Source organism: Homo sapiens, chromosome 13 (assembly GCF_000001405.40).
Source record: "Homo sapiens chromosome 13, GRCh38.p14 Primary Assembly".
NCBI lineage: Eukaryota > Metazoa > Chordata > Mammalia > Primates > Hominidae > Homo > Homo sapiens.
In genome coordinates this window covers 40,813,392-40,838,390 of record NC_000013.11, presented here as the reverse complement: position 1 = coordinate 40,838,390, position 24,999 = coordinate 40,813,392, and the positions used below count along the sequence as shown (strand labels likewise).

General features: G+C 40.4%; 1 pseudogene across 2 annotated transcripts in view, besides 2 other annotated features; it reads left to right on the top strand.

Moving 5' to 3' along the window:
- Window positions 1–24,999, top strand: part of TPTE2P5 (TPTE2 pseudogene 5) — a 124,766-nt pseudogene that overhangs the window by 83,360 nt on the left and 16,407 nt on the right. For both annotated transcript variants that reach the window (NR_038259.1, NR_038258.1), the window contains 3 exons: window positions 1,506–1,582; window positions 1,703–1,794; window positions 11,797–11,885. The product of NR_038259.1 is annotated as a TPTE2 pseudogene 5, transcript variant 2 (transcript). The remainder of the gene's footprint in view (window positions 1–1,505; window positions 1,583–1,702; window positions 1,795–11,796; window positions 11,886–24,999) is intronic.
- Window positions 9,199–9,700: an enhancer, noted in NCBI's record as "NANOG-H3K4me1 hESC enhancer chr13:41402827-41403328 (GRCh37/hg19 assembly coordinates)". NCBI's record gives its function as "activates a minimal SCP1, AML or CMV promoter by ChIP-STARR-seq in naive H9 embryonic stem cells {active_cell/tissue: H9 hESC(naive)}" and the evidence as "EXISTENCE:reporter gene assay evidence [ECO:0000049][PMID:30033119]".
- Window positions 9,984–10,130: a silencer, noted in NCBI's record as "fragment chr13:41402397-41402543 (GRCh37/hg19 assembly coordinates)". NCBI's record gives its function as "represses an EF-1alpha promoter that drives an FKBP-Casp9 reporter gene in an ReSE screen in phorbol 12-myristate 13-acetate-treated (for megakaryocytic differentiation) K562 erythroleukemia cells {active_cell/tissue: K562(+PMA)}" and the evidence as "EXISTENCE:reporter gene assay evidence [ECO:0000049][PMID:32094911]".

Sequence of the window (24,999 nt, the reverse complement as noted above, 5' to 3'; positions counted from 1 at the left end):
GAGTTCTGTAGATGTCTATTAGGTCTGCTGCTGCAGAGCTGGGTTCAAGTCCTGGATATCCTTGTTAACCTGTCTCGTTGATCTGTCTAATATTGACGGTGGGGTGTTAAAGTCTCCCATTATTATTGTGTGGGAGTCTGAGTCTCTTTGTAGGTCTCTAAGGACTTGCTTTATGAATCTGGGTGCTCCTGTATTGGGTGCATATATATTTAGGATAGTTAGCTCTTCTGGTTGAATTGATCCCTTTACCATTATGTAATGGCCTTCTTTGTCTCTTCTGATCTTTGTTAGTTTAAAGTCTGTTTTATCAGAGACTAGGATTGCAATCCTGCTTTTTTTTTGTTTTCCATTTCCTTGGTAGATCTTCCTCCACCCCTTTATTTTGAGCCTATATGTGTCTCTGAATGTGAGATGGGTCTCCTGAATACAGCACGCTGATGGGTCCTGACTCTTTATCCAGTTTGCCAATCTGTGTCTTTTAATTGGGGCATTTATCCCATTTACATTTAAGGTTAATATTGTTATGTGTGAATTTGATCCTGTCATTATGATGTTAGCTGGTTATTTTGCTCGTTAGTTGTGGCAGTTTCTTCCTAGCATCGATGGTCTTTACAGTTTGGCATGTTTTTGCAGTGGCTGGTACCGATTGTTCCTTTCCAAAATTAAACGAGAAGAAAACAAACAGCATACAAGATGAGCAATCAAGAATAATTAATACACTAGCTATTAAAATATTTGTTTTAATTATCTACCTTTAATTTTGTGCATATTTAATTAAAATTAATGTAGAATTGAGAGAAAAGCAATAAAAAATTAATTGGCTGAGAAATCAAGTCTTTGAGGAAATGCTAAAGGAAGTGAGTTGTTTGAATTGAAAAAAAGGGGCAAAAGAGCCTTTGTCCGTAAATATATGCTGAACACCACGGGAATTTTTGGATATAACTATCCTATATTTTTATACAGATTGCATCAGGAACTAGACTTAAACTAGGGCCAAAGTAGTTTAGACTACCGTATTTATTATTAAGAATCATTATGATTATAAGTCTGAAGAAAGCAACATATTAGCAAAAAAGGTTGCAAGTCACCTCTAAATTTTTCCTTTTTTTTTTTTTTTTTTTTTTTTTTGAGACAGGGTCTTGCTCTGTCATTTAGGCTGGAGTGCAGTAGTGTGGTCTTGGTTCACTGCAACCTCCGCCTCCTGGGTTCAAGCGATTCTCCTATTTCAGCCTCCTAAGTAGCTGGGATTACAGGCACGTGCCACCACGCCCAGCTAATTTTTGCATTTTTAGTAGAGATGGGGTTTCACCATGTTGACCAGGTTGGTCTCAAACTCCTGACCTCAATTAATCAATCCACCTTGACCTCCCAAAGTGCTGGGATTATCGTGGCGTGAGCCACCATGCCCAGCCCACCTTCCCTAAATATTTTTTCTGGAAAGATAAAGTGATGGTATTCTAAGTCTTTAAAGCTGAACTATATGTATTTTTTTTTCTACCCTCTAGTCTTATAAAATCTGCTTTAGGAGACAGAACTGGGCTTGAAGCCTTGTCTTTCAAAGACAAAATCCATGCAAGACCAAGTAAGTAACTACTGATACATTGTTAGCTTGGATAACTTTTTCTCTTTTTCATCCGTGATGTTAATTGGTGAGATATTTTGATCTTCGTGCTAACCAACCTAACTTTTAAATTTCATTTAGGTGTTGGAGCAGGCGATGGATATGATCTAAAAGTCAAAATAGTGATGGAGAAAAAGGTTGTCTTTTCCTGTACTTACTTAAGAAATTGTTAGGTAAGAGAAAACACGTGAATTGAAAAAAATCTGATGTTTGTTTTAAGGCTGAATGTCAAAGCAGCAACGTTCACCTCCCTAAATGATCACTCACCATAGAGAGTCCATAACGCTTTCTGGTTACCATTCAACTTGGTGTCACTGGGTTTGGATGCAAACCAGAGATAAATTAACCTCTTTGTTCAAAACAGTTTTTTCAGGGTCCTTTCCAGAATTTATTTCTGTTCAGTGTTGCTTTGCCTTTCACTTTTCCACAAATGCTGAGCATGTTACCAGGAATGTATTAAGGATTTTAATTTACATATCTGGTCATTTTTAGCCATATTCTCTTGTTGTTCATTTTATCTTTTATTATATAGTACTGATTCTAAAATTTTAGTGAGCATGAAAACTACTGAGGAGCTTGTAAAGATTTACATGCTTAGGTTGTACCCCCAAAGTATGATTTGGGAAATCTGGAATGGGGGCCAGGAATCTACAGACTTAGCAATGTCCCAAGTGATTCTAAGTCAGACGTTCTGTGAGATGACCCTATGAGAAATAATGCAAGAGTGAATGAACTGGGGAGGAATCTCTTTATCCAAAGCAAAAGGGACCTGGTAGTCAATGTTTTGCTGCAATGAAGAAATGCCTAAAACTATATACCTTTTCTGAAACAATAAGAAAGCTTCCTTCATGGGTCTAATAACCATAAACTTTTCCTACCCAGGCCTTTGTCTCAGATTCTCTTGTTACTAACCCTATTCCTTCCCTCTCTGCATAGCCCCCCGCCCCTTTTTTTGGCCTCTCTCAACTGAGGGCATTCACCCAGGCCTGACCCTTGGCTTTCTGTTCTTAGCAAATGCTTTATTCTTGGTTGAAGAATGACCCATTCCTCTTAAACTATTATTTGTTCATGTACTGGACAGATGTTTATGAGAACCCACTGAGTTGTAGATGCAGAAGCTACAACATGAACAGTTTCCACTCCAACTCAAATGCATTAGCCAGTCTGAATTATCAATGAGCTTTCTCTGCTTCTGTAAATGGCACCAGCATTCTCCGACTCAGGCCCTGTGCTTTGATTCTCTTTGCCTTGGCTCCCTAAATCCAGTTAGTTATCAATCCCTGTTGATTATTCCTTTGAAATTTTTCTGTGTTCTCCTTCCTTTCTGTTCTCACTGCCACTAACTGTCCAGAACCTCATTTGCTCATGCTTAGATTTCTACAATGGTCTCGTTACCTTTTCTTTCTCCTTATATAATGCAATGTATAGAATCCTGAAATATGCATCCTGAAATATTGCTCTCATTGTGAAAAGTTGTAGGTAGAGCAGCAGAAGACACACTGTGTGCCCATGGTCAGAGCCAGTTAACACCTTTGGCTCAACACCTTTATCTGTAAAATAAATATCACATCTCAAGTGTTATGGGAATTAAACTAGATAATATATATAAAGTTTCTTTGTAAACTATAAATCACTAAATAAGTGTTATATGTGATAATTATCAGGCATCTCTGTCACATAGGAAATGCCCCACCATATTCTTCAACAACTTCACTCTTATTTCTTTGGCTTTTGAGCTCTTAAGATGTAATAGCCCTAATGTAGTACCTGAGCTTATTTCCATCAGTAGCTTGACCAACAGACTTCATTCCAAATAAACTGGGTCATCCCCTTTGGCTCTTGGAATACAACTCTAATTTATTTAGTTAGTTACTTGGTTATTTCTTTCTTTCCTTCCTTTCCTTTTTCTTTTCTTTTATTTATTTATTTATTTACTTTTTATTATTATACTTTAAGTTTTAGGGTACATGTGCACATTGTGCAGGTTAGTTACATACGTATACATGTGCCATGCTGGTGTGCTGCACCCACTAACTCGTCATCTAGCATTAGGTATATCTCCCAATGCTATCCCTCCCCCCTCCCCCCACCCCACCACAGTCCCCAGAGTGTGATATTCCCCTTCCTGTGTCCATGTGATCTCATTGTTCAATTCCCACCTATGACTGAGAATATGCGGTGTTTGGTTTTTTGTTCTTGCGATAGTTTACTGAGAATGATGATTTCCAATTTCATCCATGTCCCTACAAAGGACATGAACTCATCATTTTTTATGGCTGCATAGTATTCCATGGTGTATATGTGCCACATTTTCTTAATCCAGTCTATCATTGTTGGACATTTGGGTTGGTTCCAAGTCTTTGCTATTGTGAATAATGCCGCAGTAAACATACGTGTGCATGTGTCTTTATAGCAGCATGATTTATAGTCCTATGGGTATACGCCCAGTAATGGGATGGCTGGGTCAAATGGTATTTCTAGTTCTAGATCCCTGAGGAATCGCCACACTGACTTCCACAATGGTTAAACTAGTTTACAGTCCCACCAACAGTGTAAAAGTGTTCCTATTTCTCCACATCCTCTCCAGCACCTGTTGTTTCCTGACTTTTTAATGATTGCCATTCTAACTGGTGTGAGATGGTATCTCATTGTGGTTTTGATTTGCATTTCTCTGATGGCCAGTGATGATGAGCATTTTTTCATGTGTTTTTTGGCTGCATAAATGTCTTCTTTTGAGAAGTGTCTGTTCATGTCCTTCACCCACTTTTTGATGGGGTTTTTTTTTCTTATAAATTTGCTTGAGTTCATTGTAGATTCTGGATATTAGCCCTTTGTCAGATGAGTAGGTTGCGAAAATTTTCTCCCATTTTGTAGGTTGCCTGTTCACTCTGATGGTAGTTTCTTTTGCTGTGCAGAAGCTCTTTAGTTTAATTAGATCCCATTTGTCAATTTTGGCTTTTGTTGCCATTGCTTTTGGTGTTTTAGACATGAAGTCCTTGCCCATGCCTATGTCCTGAATGGTAATGCCTAGGTTTTCTTCTAGGGTTTTTATGGTTTTAGGTCTAACGTTTAAGTCTTTAATCCATCTTGAATTGATTTTTGTATAAGGTGTAAGGAAGGGATCCAGTTTCAGCTTTCTACATATGGCTAGCCAGTTTTCCCAGCACCATTTATTAAATAGGGAATCCTTTCCCCATTGCTTGTTTTTCTCAGGTTTGTCAAAGATCAGATAGTTGTAGATATGCGGCATTATTTCTGAGGGCTCTGTTCTGTTCCATTGATCTATATCTCTGTTTTGGTACCAGTACCATGCTGTTTTGGTTACTGTAGCCTTGTAGTATAGTTTGAAGTCAGGTAGTGTGATGCCTCCAGCTTTGTTCTTTTGGCTTAGGATTGACTTGGCGATGCGGGCTCTTTTTTGGTTCCATATGAACTTTAAAGTAGTTTTTTCCAATTCTGTGAAGAAAGTCATTGGTAGCTTGATGGGGATGGCATTGAATCTGTAAATTACCTTGGGCAGTATGGCCATTTTCACGATATTGATTCTTCCTACCCATGAGCATGGAATGGTCTTCCATTTGTTTGTATCCTCTTTTATTTCCTTGAGCAGCAGTTTGTAGTTCTCCTTGAAGAGGTCCTTCACATCCCTTGTAAGTTGGATTCCTAGGTATTTTATTCTCTTTGAAGCAATTGTGAATGGGAGTTCACTCATGATTTGGCTCTCTGTTTGTCTGTTGTTGGTGTATAGGAATGCTTGTGATTTTTGCACATTGATTTTGTATCCTGAGAGTTTGCTGAAGTTGCTTATCAGCTTAAGGAGATTTTGGGCTGAGACAATGGGGTTTTCTAGACATACAATCATGTCATTTGCAAACAGGGACAATTTGACTTCCTCTTTTCCTAATTGAATACCCTTTATTTCTTTCTCCTGCCTAATTGCCCTGGCCAGAACTTCCAACACTACGTTGAATAGGAGTGGTGAGAGAGGGCATCCCTGTCTTGTGCCAGTTTTCAAAGGGAATGCTTCCAGTTTTTGCCCATTCAGTATGATATTGGCTGTGGGTTTGTCATAGATAGCTCTTATTATTTTGAAATATGTCCCATCAATACCTAATTTATTGAGAGTTTTTAGCATGAAGGGTTGTTGAATTTTGTCAAAGGCCTTTTCTGCATCTATTAAGATAATCATGTGGTTTTTGTCTTTGGCTCTGTTTATATGCTGGATTACATTTATTGATTTGTGTGTATTGAACCAGCCTTGCATCCCAGGGATGAAGCCCACTTGATCATGGTGGATAAGCTTTTTGATGTGCTGCTGGATTCGGTTTGCCAGTATTTTATTGAGGATTTTTGCATCAATGTTCATCAAGGATATTGGTCTAAAATTCTCTTTTTTGGTTGTGTCTCTGCCTGGCTTTGGTATCAGAATGATGCTGGCCTCATAAAATGAGTTAGGGAGGATTCCCTCTTTTTCTATTGATTGGAATAGTTTCAGAAGGAATGGTACCAGTTCCTCCTTGTACCTCTGGTAGAATTCGGCTGTGAATCCATCTGGTCCTGGACTCTTTTTGGTTGGTAAGCTATTGATTATTGCCACAATTTCAGATCCTGTTATTGGTCTATTCAGAGATTCAACTTCTTCCTGGTTTAGTCTTGGGAGAGTGTATGTGTCGAGGAATGTATCCATTTCTTCTAGATTTTCTAGTTTATTTGCGTAGAGGTGTTTTTAGTATTTTCTGATGGTAGTTTGTATTTCTGTGGGATTGGTGGTGATATCCCCTTTATCATTTTTTATTGCGTCTATTTGATTCTTCTTTTTTTCTTTATTGGTGTTGCTAGCGGTCTATCAATTTTGTTGATCCTTTCAAAAAACCAGCTCCTGGATTCATTAATTTTTTGAAGGGTTTTTTGTGTCTCTATTTCCTTCAGTTGTGCTCTGATTTTAGTTATTTCTTGCCTTCTGCTAGCTTTTGAATGTGTTTGCTCTTGCTTTTCTAGTTCTTTTAATTGTGATGTTAGGGTGTCAATTTTGGATCTTTCCTGCTTTCTCTTGTGGGCATTTAGTGCTATAAATTTCCCTCTACACACTGCTTTGAATGCGTCCCAGAGATTCTGGTATGTTGTGTCTTTGTTCTCGTTGGTTTCAAAGAACATCTTTATTTCTGCCTTCATTTCGTTATGTACCCAGTAGTCATTCAGGAGCAGGTTGTTCAGCTTCCATGTAGTTGAGCGGTTTTGAGTGAGATTCTTAATCCTGAGTTCTAATTTGATTGCACTGTGGTCTGAGAGATAGTTTGTTATAATGTCTGTTCTTTTACATTTGCTGAGGAGAGCTTTACTTCCAAGTATGTGGTCAATTTTGGAATAGGTGTGGTGTGGTGCTGAAAAAAATGTATATTCTGTTGATTTGGGGTGGAGAGTTCTGTAGATGTCTATTAGGTCCGCTTGGTGCAGAGCTGAGTTCAATTCCTGGGTATCCTTGTTGACTTTCTGTCTCGTTGATCTGTCTAATATTGACAGTGGGGTGTTAAAGTCTCCCATTATTAATGTGTGGGAGTCTAAGTCTCTTTGTAGGTCACTCAGGACTTGCTTTATGAATCTGGGTGCTCCTGTATTGGGTGCATATATATTTAGGATAGTGAGCTCTTCTTGTTGAATTGATCCCTTTACCATTATGTAATGACCTTCTTTGTCTCTTTTGATCTTTGTTGGTTTAAAGTCTGTTTTATCAGAGACTAGGATTGCAACCCCTGCCTTTTTTTGTTTTCCATTTGCTTGGTAGATCTTCCTCCATCCTTTTATTTTGAGCCTATGTGTGTCTCTGCACGTGAGATGGGTTTCCTGAATACAGCACACTGATGGGTCTTGACTCTTTATCCAATTTGCCCGTCTGTGTCTTTTAATTGGAGCATTTAGTCCATTTACATTTAAAGTTAATAGTGTTATGTGTGAATTTGATCCTGTCATTATGATGTTAGCTGGTTATTTTGCTAGTTAGTTGATGCAGTTTCTTCCTAGTCTCGATGGTCGTTACATTTTGGCATGATTTTGCAGCGGCTGGTACCGGTTGTTCCTTTCCATGTTTAGCGCTTCCTTCAGGAGCTCTTTTAGGGCAGGCCTGGTGGTGACAAAATCTCTCAGCATTTGCTTGTCTGTAAAGTATTTTATTTCTCCTTCACTTATGAAGCTTAGTTTGGCTACATATGAAATTCTGGGTTGAAAATTCTTTTCTTTAAGAATGTTCAATATTGGCCCCCACTCTCTTCTGGCTTGTAGGGTTTCTGCCGAGAGATCTGCTGTTAGTCTGATGGGCTTCCCTTTGAGGGTAACCCGACCTTTCTCTCTGGCTGCCCTTAACATTTTTTCCTTCATTTCAACTTTGGTGAATCTGACAATTATGTGTCTTGGAGTTGCTCTTCTCGAGGAGTATCTTTGTGGCGTTCTCTGTATTTCCTGAATCTGAACGTTGGCCTGCCTTGCTAGATTGGGGAAATTCTCCTGGATAATATTCTGCAGAGTGTTTTCCAACTTGGTTCCATTCTCCCCATCACTTTCAGGTACACCAATCAGACGTAGATTTGGTCTTTTCACATAGTCCCATATTTCTTGGAGCTTTGCTTGTTTCTTTTTATTCTTTTTTCCCTAAACTTTCCTTCCCACTTCATTTCATTCATTTCATCTTCCATCGCTGATACCCTTTCTTCCAGTTGATCGCATCGGCTCCTGAGGCTTCTGCATTCTTCACGTAGTTCTCGAGCCTTGGTTTTCAGCTCCATCAGCTCCTTTAAGCACTTCTCTGTATTGGTTATTTTAGTTATACATTCTTCTAAATTTTTTTCAAAGTTTTCAACTTCTTTGCCTTTGGTTTGAATGTCCTCCCGTAGCTCAGAGTAATTTGATCGTCTGAAGCCTTCTTCTCTCAGCTCGTCAAAGTCATTCTCCATCCAGCTTTGTTCCGTTGCTGGTGAGGAACTGCGTTCCTTTGGAGGAGGAGAGGCGCTCTGCTTTTTAGAGTTTCCAGTTTTTCTGTTCTGTTTTTTCCCCATCTTTGTGGTTTTATCTCCTTTTGGTCTTTGATGATGGTGATGTACAGATGGGTTTTTGGTGTGGATGTCCTTTCTGTTTGTTAGTTTTCCTTCTAACAGACAGGACCCTCAGCTGCAGGTCTGCTGGAGTACCCTGCAGTGTGAGGTGTCAGTGTGCCCCTGTTGGAGGGTGCCTCCCAGTTAGGCTGCCTGGGGGTCAGGGGTCAGGGACCCACTTGAGGAGGGAGTCTGCCCGTTCTCAGATCTCCAGCTGCATACTGGGAGAACCACTGCTCTCTTCACAGCTCTCAGACAGGGACATTTAAGTCTGCAGAGGTTACTGCTGTCTTTTTGTTTGTCTGTGCCCTGCCCCCAGAGGTGGAGCCTACAGAGGCAGGCAGGCCTCCTTGAGCTGTGGTGGGCTCCACCCAGTTCGAGCTTCCCGGCTGCTTTGTTTACCCAAGCAAGCCTGGGCAATGGTGGGCGCCCCTCCCCCAGCCTCACTGCCGCCTTGCAGTTTGATCTCAGACTGCTGTGCTAGCAATCAGCGAGACTCCGTGGGGTAGGACCCTCCGAGCCAGGTGTGGGATATAATCTCCTGGTGCGCCGTTTTTTAAGCCCGTCAGAAAAGCACAGTATTCGGGTGGGAGTGACCCGATTCTCCAGGTGCCGTCTGTCACCCCTTTCTTTGATTAGGAAAGGTAACTCCCTGACCCCTTGCGCTTCCCGAGCAAGGCAATGCCTCGCCCTGCTTCGGCTCGCGCATGATGCGTGCACCCACTGACCTGTGCCCACTGTCTGGCACTCCCTAGTGATATGAACCCGGTACCTCAGATGGAAATGCAGAAATCACCCGTCTTCTGCGTCGCTCAGGCTGGGAGCTGTAGACCGGAGCTGTTCCTATTCCGCCATCTTGGCTCCTCCCACCCTCCTTTTTCTTTTCTTGAGTCAGGGTCTCATTCTGTCACGCAGGCTGTAGCACAGTTGTGTGATCATGGCTTACTGCAGCCTTGACCTCCTGAGCTCAAGCAATCCCCCAATTTTTTTAATTTTTTGTAGAGACTGGATCTTGCTATGTTGCCCAGGCTGGTCTCAAACTCCTGGGCTCAAGCAACCTTTACACCTCAGCTTCGCAACCTGCCAAGATTATAGGCATGAGCCACACTGCCTGACCTTCTTTGTTGCTGTTTTTCTAATTTCTTTTCTTCTTTCTTTTTTTTTTTTTTGAGATGAAGTTTCACTCTTGTTGCCCAGGCTGGAGTACAATGGTGCGACCTCGGCTCACTGCAACCTTTGCCTCCCGGGTTCAAGTGATTCTCCTGCCTCAGCCTCCCAAGTAGCTGGGATTACAGGCATGCACCACCACCCCGGCTAATTTTTGTATTTTTAGTAGAGATGGGGTTTCTCCATGTTGGTCAGGCTGATCTCGAACTGCCAGCCACAGGTGATCTGCCCGTCTTGGCCTCCCAAACTGTTGGGATTACAGGCATGAGCCACCATGCCCGGCCTATTTTTCTAATTTCTACTTTGCATTATTGCTGGTCTTTTTCCCTCTGTATGAAGTAGATTCTATTTTCAGAGCCCTTCTTCCTTTATCTAAACTGTTTCATGTCCAATTCAATTTTTACCTCCTCAATGAAATTTTTGCATTCTGCACCTCCTGTTAACTAGCCCCCAACAGTGCATAACAGCACACCCAGTCTTCATTATACAGATTGAGTTATATACCATTCTACTTTTGTTTCTGATGTGTACAGCTCCCTGAAGGGACCGACTGAGTCTGTACCTCCTTTTGTGTTTTTCACAGGACCTAGACCTTTCTTATTGTGGGTGCCATTATTTATAGGAGAGTGAGTCAAAGAAATTGTATAGCTTCAAAGTCATTCATTCCAAAACTTGACCTATCTTTGGTCACTTCATCCAGCAGGCTGCAATGGTCAAGTCCAAAGATCCCATTGACAAACACGAGAGTTCTGATAAAACATGATGAGCAGGGGAACCCCACTCTCCCCCTCCCTCGGGAGGAGCAGGTGGGCCCACCGCCCAAGTGTTACAGGCCCCTGTTGTTATTTTTTAAATTTAGAAAATAAAAAACCTTGGTGAGTTACACATTGCTTTTTGAATGTCAATGCTAGCTTTAAAATTGAGCTTCTTAATGTATTCTCAAAAGAGGCCCTAACGCATGAAAATCAAATGACACACATTAAATAATAATATTTAATTGATTAATAGAAAATTCAATACTTTTTAAAAGTGAGGCATTTTTTTAAAGTGCCTCATGGCCGAGCATGGTGGCTTATGCCTCTAATCCCAGCATTTTGGGAGGACAAGACGGTCAGATCACAAGGTCAAGAGATCGAGACCATGCTGGCCAACATGGTGAAACCTGGTCTCTACTAAAAATACAAAAAGTAGTTGGGTGTGGTGGTGCACGCCTGTAGTCCCAGCTACTCGGGAGGCGGAGGCAGGAGAATGGCTTGAACCCAGGAGGCGGAGGTTGCAGTGAGCCGAGATCCCACCACTGCACTTCAGCATGGTGACAGAGTGAGACTCCATCTCAAAAAAAAAAAAAAAAGAAAGAAAGAAAAGAACAGTGCCTCATGATAACCCTCAAACATGTTGGCCTTTAAAAAACGTGAACAACAGGACCGGTGCTGTGGCTCACACCTGTAATTTCAACACTTTGGGAGGCCCAGGTGGGCAAATCACTTGAGGCCAGGAGTTTGAGACCAGCCTGGCCAGTATAGTGAAACCCCATGTCTACTAAAAATACAAAAAGTAGCCGGGTGTGGTGGCATGTGCCTATAGTCCCAGCTACTCAGGAGGCTGAGGCACAGGAATCACTCCAACCTGGGAGGCAGAGGTTGCAGGGAGCTGAGATCATGCCCCTGTACTTCAGCCTGGGTGACAGTGAGACTGTCTCAAAAACACACACACACACACACACACACACACACACACACACACACATACATACATACAACAGTATTGCAAATAGAAAAGGTTATTAATAATTATTTATACATGTAGTGATTGGGCTGTGAGACCAAAAGTACTTGATAAATATTGGAAGTCATGATAAGTGAAAAGGAACTTCATTGTTATCATTAGTTAGGTTTATAGTTCTAAATTCCATGTGTTCATTCACAGGTATTTCATGACACTGAAACAGAGCAATAATTGATGTATTCAACAGTCCACCTCTGTATGATGATGTGAAAGTGCAATTTTTCTCTTTGGTGAGTAATCAAGAAACAGCCTCTGCCATTGTTCTTGTCTGGTCTTTTGAATGATTTTATTTAAGATTTGCTTTACTACACTTCCCAACAAGGGAGATGACAGATGTCATCCCACAGAGGGAGGGTGAGAAAAACAATAAATCAGATTTATAACAGATTTTTTTAAAATAACATATGTAATTTGAATAATTTTTGTTCATTTGTTTTTTCTAAATTGTAAATTTTCTAATTTTTTCTAAATTTACATATATTAGTTATCAAATACAAAAAATACAAAATAAACACAAAAAATAAAAGCCAAGATGCTAAAAAAACCAAAGTTATGTTTTACTGCATAGCAATGATTACATTTTGTTTTGCATCTTTTTTTTAAATTAAAAAATTAATCATGCCTATAATCCCAGCACTTTGGGAGGCTGAGGCGGGTGGATCACATGAGGTTGGGGGTTCAAGACCAGGCTGACCAACATGGAGAAACCCCGTCTCTACTAAAGGTACAAAATTAGCTGGGCGTGGTGGCAAGCACCTGTAATCCCAGCTACTCGGGAGGCAGAGGCAGGAGAATCACTTGCACCCGAGAGGCAGAGGTTGCAGTGAGCCGAGATTGCACCACTGCACTCCAGCCTGGGCGACAAGAGCGAGACCCAGTCAAAAAAAAAAAAAATTGAGACAGGGTCTCACTGTATCATCCAGGCTGGAGTGCAGTGGCGTGATCATAGCTAACTGCAGCTTCAACCTCCTGGGCTCAAGCAATCCTCCCACTTCAGCCTCCCAAGTAGCTGGAAGCACTGACTGGGAAGAGTTAGGTTTGGGTGACTCAGTTGGGTGAAACACAGAGAAGGCAGCACAGTACAACACATGAAATAACCGAAGCAGTTTTTTTATTAATTCCAGAGAGAAGAGGGCAGCACACTTTGCAGGGCTAACTGGAAGGGAGAGCCATCAAGAAGACCTGTGCTTGACTGATGGTTGGGGAGCAATAGCGAGAGAGAGGGAGGGACCTGGGAGTGGAAGCCTTTATTGGGATGTAAGGTGCTATCTGAGCAGGTTTCCTACAGGGAGGTCCACTTTGGTTTAATGCAAGCAGCCGTGAGTGTCTGCTGTGACTGAGAGGTGGTCACTGATATATTCACATGGTTCATGCGGAGTATGGGGGTCTGTGGGGTGAGTCAAGTAGGTTATATCTAGCTGTCCCATAATGAAGTGGTCCCCAGGAGAAGGCTGAATAAGGTAGATACCAGGATCAGTCACATTGAGAAACTGGGAGGAGGTGAACTGGAAACTGCTGAGGGTGACTGAACCCCACTTTTGATATCAGAAAGTCCAATTTATATTTAAAAGGGATGCTGAGGCAACAAAAAAATTGTAAGAATTCACTATAATATACTTGGGTATATATAGGCATAGGTCCTTAGTAGATTCTGTTTAGCACTATCTAAACCAGATTCAAATATCAGCATTTAAATTAAATATCTAGCATGGAAAAAATACTATTCCTTGAAAATTTTGATAGAAACAGCAAGAGAATGCAATAGTATTTTCTTAAGCCTCCTCCTTTGTGTCTTGAGTTTATTGTTACAGACTGCAGAGTGCTATGTATTTAATGGTTATAATTGTTTGATAAATATATAAAGGAATAAAGGAATGAACTTTAATTTCTTTGGAATGATTAGTTCTTGGTATCAGTTTTATTTTGAAATTTTTTTTTTCTTTTTAGGATCTTCCTAAATACTATGACAATTGTCCTTTTTTCTTCTGGTTTAACACACCTTTTATACAAAATAACAGATATAGATATAATATAAACCTATAGAAACAGCCTAATCTTCAGTGTCTGTGTATAAGATATAATGGCAAGTCTTTTCCTGGTTGTCATGAACTTTATAGAAAGCAAAAAATCCTCGAGCCACCATTGACCATTGCCATACTCCTCTTAATTTGGTTATTTTAAAAATACAGTTGTTCTTGAGACCCACTGTTGCAGTATCCTCAAGGTCCATGCCATAGGACTGTGTTATGAGTTCAAAAATATTATAACCAGATCTTAAGTGTGGTAGTAAATTCTTCCCAGAGAAGTTCAGTATGAGTCTGCTCAGTACCTTCAATATGTCAGGTCCTCAGTAGGCACTGATTTACCAATGACAAACCACCACCAAAGTTTGTGCTAAAATAAGGCAGGACCTAGGGAGGCTTCAGCTAGCTGAAAAGCTGACTGACACACTTATATCTACGAGAAGTTATAAGACACAGTTAAGTATGAAGGAGTACAGCTAAAAAATATCATTAAGTAATAGCCTCCCATTTAAATGTGGCTTTCTAATAACTGAATGGGGAAAACTTTCTGAAAAATTATTAATTGGATTTGAAGATTATTGTTCCAAAAAAACCTTCTGCCATATTTGGAAACTCATTTTTCAATCTAGAAGTTCTCCACTATAAGTAGCATTTGTTCTGTGGTGGTGAAAAATTGAGACTTTTTCTAATCAACCATACTCTTCAATACAAAAGGAGAAAATATTTTTTAAATGATTTAGGTGAGAGTTGGAGAAGTGGCTATGATTACATGTAGCATGAATTGATAGTTATTGTTACATCCAGTCCTAATCTTTTCTTCAGATGTGGACTCAATCTAATAACTCCTTAAGTCAAGCAAGGCAACGGTAAATTAAACCTGTGGTCTACACACTTGTAATGCATATACATTTAATGGATTTTGATAGAGTGAACTTTGGATTTGATGGAAATTTTTACAATTTTTTTTCTTGGATGCATAAAAACAATAAGCTTTTTCTTCTAACATGAGCAAAGTCCCTCAAATAGTGAGAGCTGGGTGGAGCTTCATTTGATGCTGTTCCTCAAAAGTGGTTCTTGCTAAAGGATACAGTTTTTTCCTTTAAAATACCATATTCATTTTGAAGAAGCAATAAGTTAGATCACTTTTATTCTCAGTTGTATATAAATTTCTAAAGAATTCTGTAACATTTAAATTTATATACTACTTGGTATAGCTGTTTTTGTTATGAGATTGTTGTTTAGCCAAAAATGCCAACTTCTATCATTTAGAACATTAGGCATAAATGGGTTAACAAATTTATGCCTAGTGTTCCATTATTGGAACGCTAAGCATGTGGGAGTTATATGCTACTGCTCAAGGTCCTCTCCAAGGTCTGATCGTAAAAATTCAAAAAATTGCAACCTCACGCATAAATTTAAAGGGATATAGTATTTTATTACTGGGGTTTCATTCATACCTAGCCTGACTGATTTCTGAAATTTAGATATTTTATTAAACCTGAATGTCATTAATTCCATAAAAAGCAGTGTTAAAAGAATCAGCGGCTGGGCGGCTGAACGCAGTGGCTCACACCTGTAATCCCAGCACTTTGGGAGGCCGAGGCGGGCGGATCACGAGGTCAGGAGATCGAGACCATCCTGGCTAACACGGTAAAACCCAGTTTCTACTAAAAATACAAATACAAAAATTAGCCGGGCGTGGTGGCGGGCGCCTGTAGTCCCAGCTACTCGGGAGGCTGAGGCAGGAGAATGGCGTGAACCTGGGAGGTGGAGCTTTCAGTGAGCCGAGATCGTGCCACTGCACTCCAGCCTGGGCGACAGAGCAAGGCTCCATCTCAAAAAAAAAAAAAAAAAAAAAAATCAGTGGCTGGGCATGGTGGCTCATGCCTGTAATCCCAGCACTTTGGGAGACTGAGGCAAGCAGATCATGAGGTCAGGAGATGGAAACCATCCTGGCCAACATGGTGAAATCCCGTCTCTGCTAAAAATACAAAAATTAGCCGGGCGTGGTGGCGAGTGCCTGTAATCCCAGCTACTCAGGAGGCTGAGGCAGGAGAATCGCTTGAACCAGGGAGTCGGAGATTGCAGTGAGCCAAGATCACTGCACTCCAGCCTGGCAAGAGAGCAAGACTCGGTCTCAAAAAAAAAAAAAAAAGAATCAGTATGAGTTAGTGATGTGTTGCTGGAGCCAACTGAGACACAAAAAAAGGGGCTGAGGTTCTATTCATGGTAAGGTTCTTTTTTTGTTTCTTCAAGCTCTAACAAGGGTACCCAACTGCATGGCTTTTCAGTTAGCCCCAATATAAAAATGCAATAATTTTTTTTTCTATTCTTAGGCTTAAACCACAAAGAAATGAATTGGATAATCCACATAAACAAAAGACATGGAAAATTTACGCACCAGAATTTGCAGTAGAGATTTTTTTTTTATTAGAAATGACTTACAGTTACGTTGTGGCTGGTATCTGATTAAGTATAGTTCCCCCTTCCCCTTCCGGGAAAGAATTATGTTGTTTCCAACCCCTGCCACATAGTTATATGTTCTAAATCTTCCTTGATGATATATCTATATTTATATATGTTTACATATATATAAAACATGTTTACATATGTTTACATATGTTCTTGATAAATCTATTAAGTAGATATAGATAAAATGTCAGGATTTTTTTTTCTTTTTTGAAGGCATATGCTTCATAGTTTCCATCTTGTATTTATATAAATTTGGAACACAGTATGCAGGAACATTAGGCATCATTTTGAAGAACTTTGAAATAGAACTTTCATATCAAAATAATTGAGGTATTTAAAAATTGTGATTCCCCAACACCCACTTACTTACATACTTTTGGTCAAGTATTTATTCCCTGCTTTGTTTCACATATGTAATTTCAGATTTATTAGAAAGCTAATTTATATTTTTTTCTTCTACTTCATTTACAAACTGTTAACAGATTGGCAGCAAAGACTAAGTTTTAAACCCAGAAGAGAGAAATGTTTCACACGAGCAGTCCCCCAATTCCCAACGCACACTCTTCTCTCATTCCAAGCACTAAATGGGTAGCTTACTTAACAAGCTTCCTTTAATTACACACAGACATGGGTGTTGGGGTAAGAAGACCGTGGTAAATATGGAGGATAAATAATCTTCAGTAACTTCTGCTTTTGCATAAAATTGTAAGTGAATCAAAAGAAATATTTATTCTTAGAGTAATCTAGGTGTATTATTTTGAAATCCGCTACTCCTGCTCACAACCAACTTCACCTAAGCCTGGGGGAACTCTGAAGGGAGGTAATCTTTTCATTATAAACACTGGTTAGCCTTATGTCTATGGGAAATCATTATTATTTCCTCTTTGGTGCTGGGTGCTAGTTTTTTAAAACAAATTTTTTATTTTATTTTTTTTTTTTTTGAGACAGGGTCTCACTCTGGTTGTCGAGACTGGAGTGCAGTGGTGTGATGTTGGTTCACTGCAGCCTCGACCTCCCAGGCTGAGGTGATTCTCCCACCTCCAGCCTCCCGAGTAGCTGGGACTATAGGCGCACGCCACCACACCTGGATAATTTTTTTGTATTTTTAGAGATGAAGTTTTGACATGTTGCCCAGGTTGGTCTCGAATTCCTGAACTCAAGCAATCTGCCTGCCTCAGCCTCCCAAAGTGTTGGGGTTACAGGCATGAACCACCATGCCCAGCCCGTGGGTGTTACTTTATTCAAAGTACCTTCATTGCCACTGTATCTTCAGGCCATGATTGTCCTTGAAAAATGTTATATTTTGGCTTCATAGAAATTATTCTTATTCGAATGATTTTCCTTTTATTGGCAAGGCTCTCAACAATCTAAACCAAGATGAATTCATCAGGAAATGAAAGGTAGCAACTAATAAGACAAGGGTAACTGCTAAAACACGATATACTATTCCTGAAAAACCTTGCACTCTACAGAAAACACTAAAAAAAGAAGCGGTTCATGAAAATATAGGGTTTGAGAGTTCAAGACAAACCACTCCAGCATAACAACTTTGTAACCAACACACTAACCACTCGGACCACCCACATCAGCAGCTCAATGTCTGGAGGTTGCCATAGGAGCTTTTTTATTTTTGAGTGGAAATAGAATACTTTATGTAAGAGCTGCGGGTACCAGAGTGGCACAGATGAGAGTAGAGCCCCGAGCCATGGTGGGCATGGAAGGCAGCAACCTGCCAGGAGCGAAGAGCTCCATGAGGCTGGTGAGCAGCCTAGCTGCAGGTGATTTTTTCTCCTCTAAATATTCCAAAAAAGGTTCCAACTGCCTGTGCAGCAGCCCAACTAAAGGCTTTTGTTTTTTACTACCGCTAATCTGGTTCCCCCTTTGAAAAAAAGATCATACAACATGCTTTCAAATTCCCTTCATGTTATGATTATTAATATTATACCCTGCCATCCATATTACAGAAACATGTATAGGCACAACATAGGACTATTTCGTTTAAAATTCACACAGCAGTAATCTACAGAGGGCAGATTATGTCCTGGGTTTAGGTGAATAGGGAGGAAAATACTTAGCTGGCTCAGGGAAGAGTAAGATCTGTCTTTTTCAATACTAGCAATACAGGAAGGAAGGAAACCCCCTTTTTCATTTTAAGAATTTCACTTTTTGAAATAAGGAGGTTACCATTAATGTTTCTCTTCCCCAAACCTCCAAGACCCACCAAAATTTCTGGAAATTATGAGTTGTTACACTATTCTGCTTTTGCTTATTCAAAGAAAACTTGTTTAAGACCTCTTTGGGCATTGCTTTCTCAGAATGCAAAATGAATGATTATTTGAACAACTCAAGAAACTTATATCAGAATGATACTCATGTTTTAAAACTAACTTCAATTTTAAATATGGGGGTATGTGTGCAAGTTTGTCACATCAGTATATTGCACCCTGGTAGTAAGCATAGTACCCAATAGGTAGTTTTTCAACCTGCACCCCTCTCCCTCCATCCCCCTCTAGTAGTCCACAATGTCTGTTGTTCACATCTTTATGTCCAAGAGTACCTGTTGTTTAGCTCTCATAAGTGAGAACACGTGGTATTTGGTTTTCTGTCCCTTTATTAATTTGCTTAGGATAATGGCCTCCAGCTCCATCTGTGTTGCTGCAAAAGACATGATTTCACACATTTTTATGGCTGCATAGAATTCCATCGTTTGTATGTACCATTTTCTCTATCCAGCCCACCACTGATGGGCACCTAGGTTGATTCCATATCTTTGCTATTGTGAATAGCACAGCTCCCATATCTTTGCTATTGTAAATAGCACATTGTGCGTGTCTTTTGGTAGAATGATCTTTTTTCCATTGGGCATATACCCAATAATGGGATTACTGGGTCAAATAGTAGCTCTGTTTTAAGTTATTTGAGAAATCTCCAGACTGCTTTCCACAGTGGCTGAACTAATTTACATGCCCACCAACAGTGTATAAACATTCCCTTTTCTCTGCAGCCTTGCCAGCATCTGTCGTTTTTGACTTTTTATTAATAGCCATTCTGACTAGGTGAGAGGGTATCTCATTGTGGTTTTGATTTGCGCTTCTCTGACCATTAGTGATGTGAAGCATTTTTTCATATGTTCATTGGTCACTTGCATGTCTTCTTTTCGGAAGTGTGTGTTCAGGTACTTTCCCCATTTTTTAATGGGGTTATTTGGTTTCTGCGTGTTGATTTTCTGTAAATTCCTTATAGATTCTGGATATTAGACCTTTGATGCATAGTTTGCAAATGTTTTCTCCTGTTCCGTAGGTTGTCTGTTTACTCTGTCAATCATTGCTCTTGCTGTGCAGAAACTCTTTAAGTTTTTTTAGGTCCCACTTGTCAATCTTTGTTTTTATTGCAATTGCTTTTGGGGACTTAGTTAAAAATTCTTTGCCAAGGCCAATGTCAAGAAGGGTATTTTTGAGGTTTTCTTCTAGGATTTTTATCATTTGAGGTCTTAAATTTAAATCTTTAATCTATCTCCAGTTAATTTTTGTATATGATGAAAGGTATGGGTCCAGTATCATTATTCTGCATATAGCTAGCCAGTTACTCCAGCACCATTTATTGAATAGGGAGTCCTTCCCCCATTGCTTGTTTTTGTCAGCCTTGTCAAAGATCATATGGTTGTAAGTGTAAGGCTTTATTCTGGGTTTTCTATTCTGTTCCATTGGTCTGTGTGTCTGCTTTTGTACCAGTACCATGCTGTTTTGGCTACTATAGCATTTTAGTTTGAAGCCTCTGGCTTTGCCCTTTTTGCTCAGATCTACTTTGGCTATTCAGGCTCTCTTTTGGTTTCATATGAATTTTAGAATACATTTTGCTAATTCTGTGAAGAATGGCATTGGTAGTTTGATAGAAATAGCACTGAATCTGTAAACTGCTTTGGGTAGTATGGCCATTTGAATGATACTGATTCTTCCAATCCATGAGCATGGAATGTTTTTCTATTTAATTGTGTTATCTCTGATTTCTTTCAGCAGTGTTTTGTGGTTCTTGTAGAGATCCTTCACATCCTTTGTTAGCTGTACTCCTAGGTATTACATTTTCTTTACGGCTATTGTAAATGGGATTCTGTTCTTGATCTGACTTTCAACCTGGACATTATTGGTGTACAGAAATGCTGTTTTTGTACATTGATTTTTTATCCTGAAACTCTGCTAAAGTTGTTTATCAGTTCTAGTAGCCTTTTGGCAGAGTCTTCAGGGTTTTCTGGATATAGAATCATATCATCAGCAAAGAGAGATAGTTAGACTCTTTCTTTTTCCTATTTGGATGCCTTTCTTTCTTTCTCCTGCCTGAGTGCTCTGGGTAGGACTTCCAGTACTATGCTGAATAGGATTGGGGAGAGAGGGCATGATTGCCTTGTTCCATGTCTCATGGGATTGGTTCCAGCTTTTGCCCATGCAGTAGTTTGGTGGCTGTGGGTTTGTCATAGATGGCTCTTATTATTTTGAGGTATGTTCCTTTGATACCTAATCTGTTGAGGTGTTTAATGTGAAGGGATATTGGATTTTATCAAAAGCTGTTTCTGCATCTATCGAGATGATCATATGGTTTTTGCTTTTAGTTCTGTTTATGTGGTGAATCACATTTATTGATTTGCGTATGTTGAACCAGCCTTGCATCCTTGGACTGAAGCCTTCTTGATTGCGGTGTATTAACTTATTGATGTGCTGCTGGATTCTGTTTCCTAGTATTTTATATAGAATTTTTGTGTCTATGTTCATCAGAGTAATTGGCCTGAAGTTTTCTTTTTGTGTGTGTCTCTGCCAGATTTTGGTATTAGGCTGATGATGGCTTCATAGAATGAGTTAGGGAGGCGCCCCTCATCCTCAATTCTTTGGAATAGTTTCACTAGAACCAGTACCAGTTCTTTGTACATCTGGTAGAATTCAGCTGTGGCTCCATCTGGTCCAGGGCTTTTCCTTGTTGGTAGATTTTTTATTAATGATTTGATTTCAGAAATCAATATTTGTCTATTCAAGGTTTCAATCTCTTTCTGATTCAATCTTGGGAGATTTTATGTTTCCAGGAATTTATCCATTTACTTTTTTTTTTTTTTTTTCGAGATGGAGTCTCACACTGTCACCCAGGCTGGAGTGCAGTGGCGTGATCTCAGCTCACTGCAACCTTTGCCTCCTGGGTAAAAGTGATTCTGCCTCAGCCTCCCAAGTAGCTGGTATTACAGGCGCCCGCCACCACGCCCAGCTAATTTTTCATATTTTTAGTAGAGACGGGGTTTCACTATGTTGGCCAGGCGGGTCTTGAACCCCTGGCCTCGTGATCCACCCACCTAGGGCTCCCAAAGTGCTAGGATTGCAGGCGTGAGCCACCATGCCTGGCCTATCCATTTCCTCTAGATGATCTAATCTGTGTACATAGAGTTGTTTATACTGTTCTCTGAGGATCTTTTGTATTTCTGTGGGATTGATTGTAATGTCATATTTGTTATTTATGACTGTACTTATTTGGCTCTTTGTTTAGCTATCAGCCTATCAATCTTATTTTTTGAAAAACTAATTATTGGTTTCATTGATCTTTTGTGTAGATTTTTGCATCTAGACTCAAAAACAAAACAGCACCTCAAAAAGCACTTCATTTAGTGGTTCTCTAATTTCTCTTCTGCCAGCTTTGGGGTTCATTTATTCTTTTTTTTCTAGTTCCCTTAAATGCAAAGTAGGGATGTTAATTTGAGATATTTCTAACTTCTTGATGAAGGCATTTAGTGCTATAAACTTTCCTCTTAACACTGCTTTAGCTGTATCCCAGAGATTCTGATATGTTGTGTCCCTACTTTCATTAATTTGAATTTTTTTATTTCTGCCTTAATTTAAATGTTCACCCCAGGAGTTATTCAGAAGCAAATTATTTAATTTCCATGTATTTATGTATTTTTGAAAGATCTTCTTGATACTGATTTCTATTTTTGTCGCACTGTGGTCAGTGTGTGTGGTTGGTGTCATATCAAACTTTTTGAATTTAATGAGGCTTGCTTTATGGCCAAACATGGTTGATCTTAGAATATGTTCTGTGTGCACATGAGAATGTTATCTTCTGTGTTTATTGGATAAAGTGTTCTGTAGGTGCCTATCAAGTCCAATTGGTCAACTGTCAAGTGTAAGTACAGAGTTTGTTAGTTTTCTACCTCAGTGATCTGTCTATTGCTGTCCGTGGGGTGTTGAAGTCTCCTGCTATTATTGTGTGGTTCTCTAAATCTTTTTGTAGGCCGAGAAAAACTTGTTTTATGAATTTGGGTGCTCCAGTATTGGGTGTGTACATATTTAGGCTAGGTCTTCTGATTGGACTGTGTCCTTTAACATTCTATAATGCCCTTCTTTGTCCTTAATTTTTATTGGTTAAAAATGTTTCATCTAACATAAGAATAGTGACTCCTGCTCTTTTTTGTTTTCCATTTGCATGATAGATCTTTCTTCATCCCTTTACTTTCAGCCTGTGGATGTCATTAGGAGTGAGGTGGGTTTCTTGAAGACAGCAGATGATTGAGTCTTGTCTTTTGATCCAGCCTGTCACTTTTTGCCTTTTAAGTGGGGAGTTTAGCCCATTTACATTCAGGGTTAGTACTGACATGTGATTTTCATCCTGTCATCATGTTGTTAGCTGGTTGTTTTATCGACTTGTTTGTGTGGTTGCTCTGTGTTGCCTATGAGCTATGTGCTTAAATGTGTTTTTGTGGTAGCAGGTTCTTTCAATTCCACGTTTAGCACTTTCTAAAGGATCTCTTATAAGGCTGGTCTAGTTGAAATGAATTCCCTCAGTGTTTGTTTCTCTGAGCATTTTATTTCTTCATCACTTATGAAGCTTTTTGGTGGGATATGAAATTCTTAATTGGAATTTATTTTCTTTAAGGAGACTGAAAGCAGATTCCCCAATCTCTTCTGGCTTGTAAGGTTTCTGCTGAAAAGTCTGCTGCTAGCCTGATGGGCTTCCCCATGTACATAACCTGGCTCTTCTCTTCTGCTTCTTTTAAGATTTTTTCCTTTTCCATTGACCTTGGTGAATCTGATGACTATGTGCCTTGAAGATGACCATCTTATATAGTACCTATCTTGGGTTCTCTGTATTTCCTGGATTTGCATGTCAACCTTTCTAACAAGATTAGAGAAAGTTACATAAACTGTATCCTCAAATATATTTTCCAAGTTGTTTATTCTCTCTTCTTTTCTCTCAGGAATGCCAATGAGTCATAGACTTGGTCTCTTTACATAATCCACTATTTCTCAGAAGTTTTGCTCATTTTTTTAAATTCTTTTTTTATTTTTGTCTGAGTTGTTTAGAAGAGCGCTGAGATTCTTTCCTCAGCTTGGTCTGTTCTGCTGTTAATACTTCCAATTGTATTATAAAATTCTTATAGTGAATTTTTCAGCTATCGAAGTTCAGTTTGGTTCTTTCTTAAAATGGCTATTTCATCTTTCAGCTCTTGGATCACTTTACTGGAATCCTTGGATTAGTTTTCAGCTTTCTTCTGAATATTGATGAGCCTCCTTGGCATCCAGATCCTGTATTCTACATCTGTCATTTCAGCCATTTCCAACTGGTTAAGAACCACTGCTAGGGAGCTAGTGGACTCATTTGGAGGTAAGGGGACACTCTGGCTCTTTGAATTGCCAGAGTTCTTGTGCTGATTCTTTCTCATCTGAGGGTTGGTATTCTTTTAACTGTGGTGTAAGTTGAGTACAGTCAGTTGGCTGAATTTCTTCATGTTTTCTGAGGGCCAAGGCTCTGTGCATTTGTGGTTGAATTCTTACCTTGGTTTTACAGGAAGGTATATTAGCAAACTATTTTTGTAGTTTGCTACATCTACTGAATTCCAGTAGATGGCGCTTAGGAGTAATGGTCGGTAGACAGATCTTAGCCACTTTGCTCCTTTGGATTTCCTGGTGTTTCTGGCTGTGCTCTGTGGTGCGGTGGGAAGAGAGGTGACCACCTCATCAGGTCCGCTCCTGGGCCCTGGGGGAGCCCCTTCCAACCAATGGCACTGTGCCCGTGTTTCTTTTGTCAGGTGCACTCCCTCAGGCAGAGGCTGAGGTAGGGAGATAGGCCATCCCTTTTCCAGACAGCTGGCCCTGCATAGGGAGGCATGCCCACTGCTGTGGTAGCCCACAGGTTCATGTAACTCAGCACTCTCAGTACTCTGAGAGTGTGGGCTCCTCTCCTGCTCTAGTGCCTGCTACAGATCTCGCCTTGGCACTTCCAAGCTGCCACACTGCAGCCCCAGTGCAAGCTCAGGCTTTTTGTTCCCTCCTCAGCTTAGGGTTGGGGCAGCTGTGCTGCTGGGCCCAAGCTGGGGGCCCTGCCTGAAGAGCAGGGAGGTCAGGCAACTCAACCCGGAAGACAGTCTGGCCTCCTCTCTGTAGAATGCTGACAAAGTAATCAGGCCCTTTGTTCCCTCCCTAGCCTGGGGGAAGCAAGGGCAGGTACTGTGGTGGCAGCAATGGCAGAGGCCTGTCAGTTGTTTCTGGGACCTCCATCCCAGAGAAACACAGAGCCACCACCAACTGATCAGGCAGGAGCTGTGCTGGGGGCCCAAGCCAGGAGGCACCCTGCCCAGTGAGCAGCAGGGCCAGGGACTCGTGGAAAACAGTCTGGGCTGCCTTTCCATATGTCAGCTATAGCAGGCTGGAGGCCCATGACCGCTATTGGGCTTTTTGCTCCCTCTCCAGCCTGAGGGCAGCAGGGGCACAGGCTACGGCAGGGCAGAGGGCCTGTTGGTTACTTCTGGGAGCTCCATCCCAGAGAAATGAGGGCTGTGACTAGCTGGAGTGCTCAGGTAGTGGGTAGCATGGCTGCGATG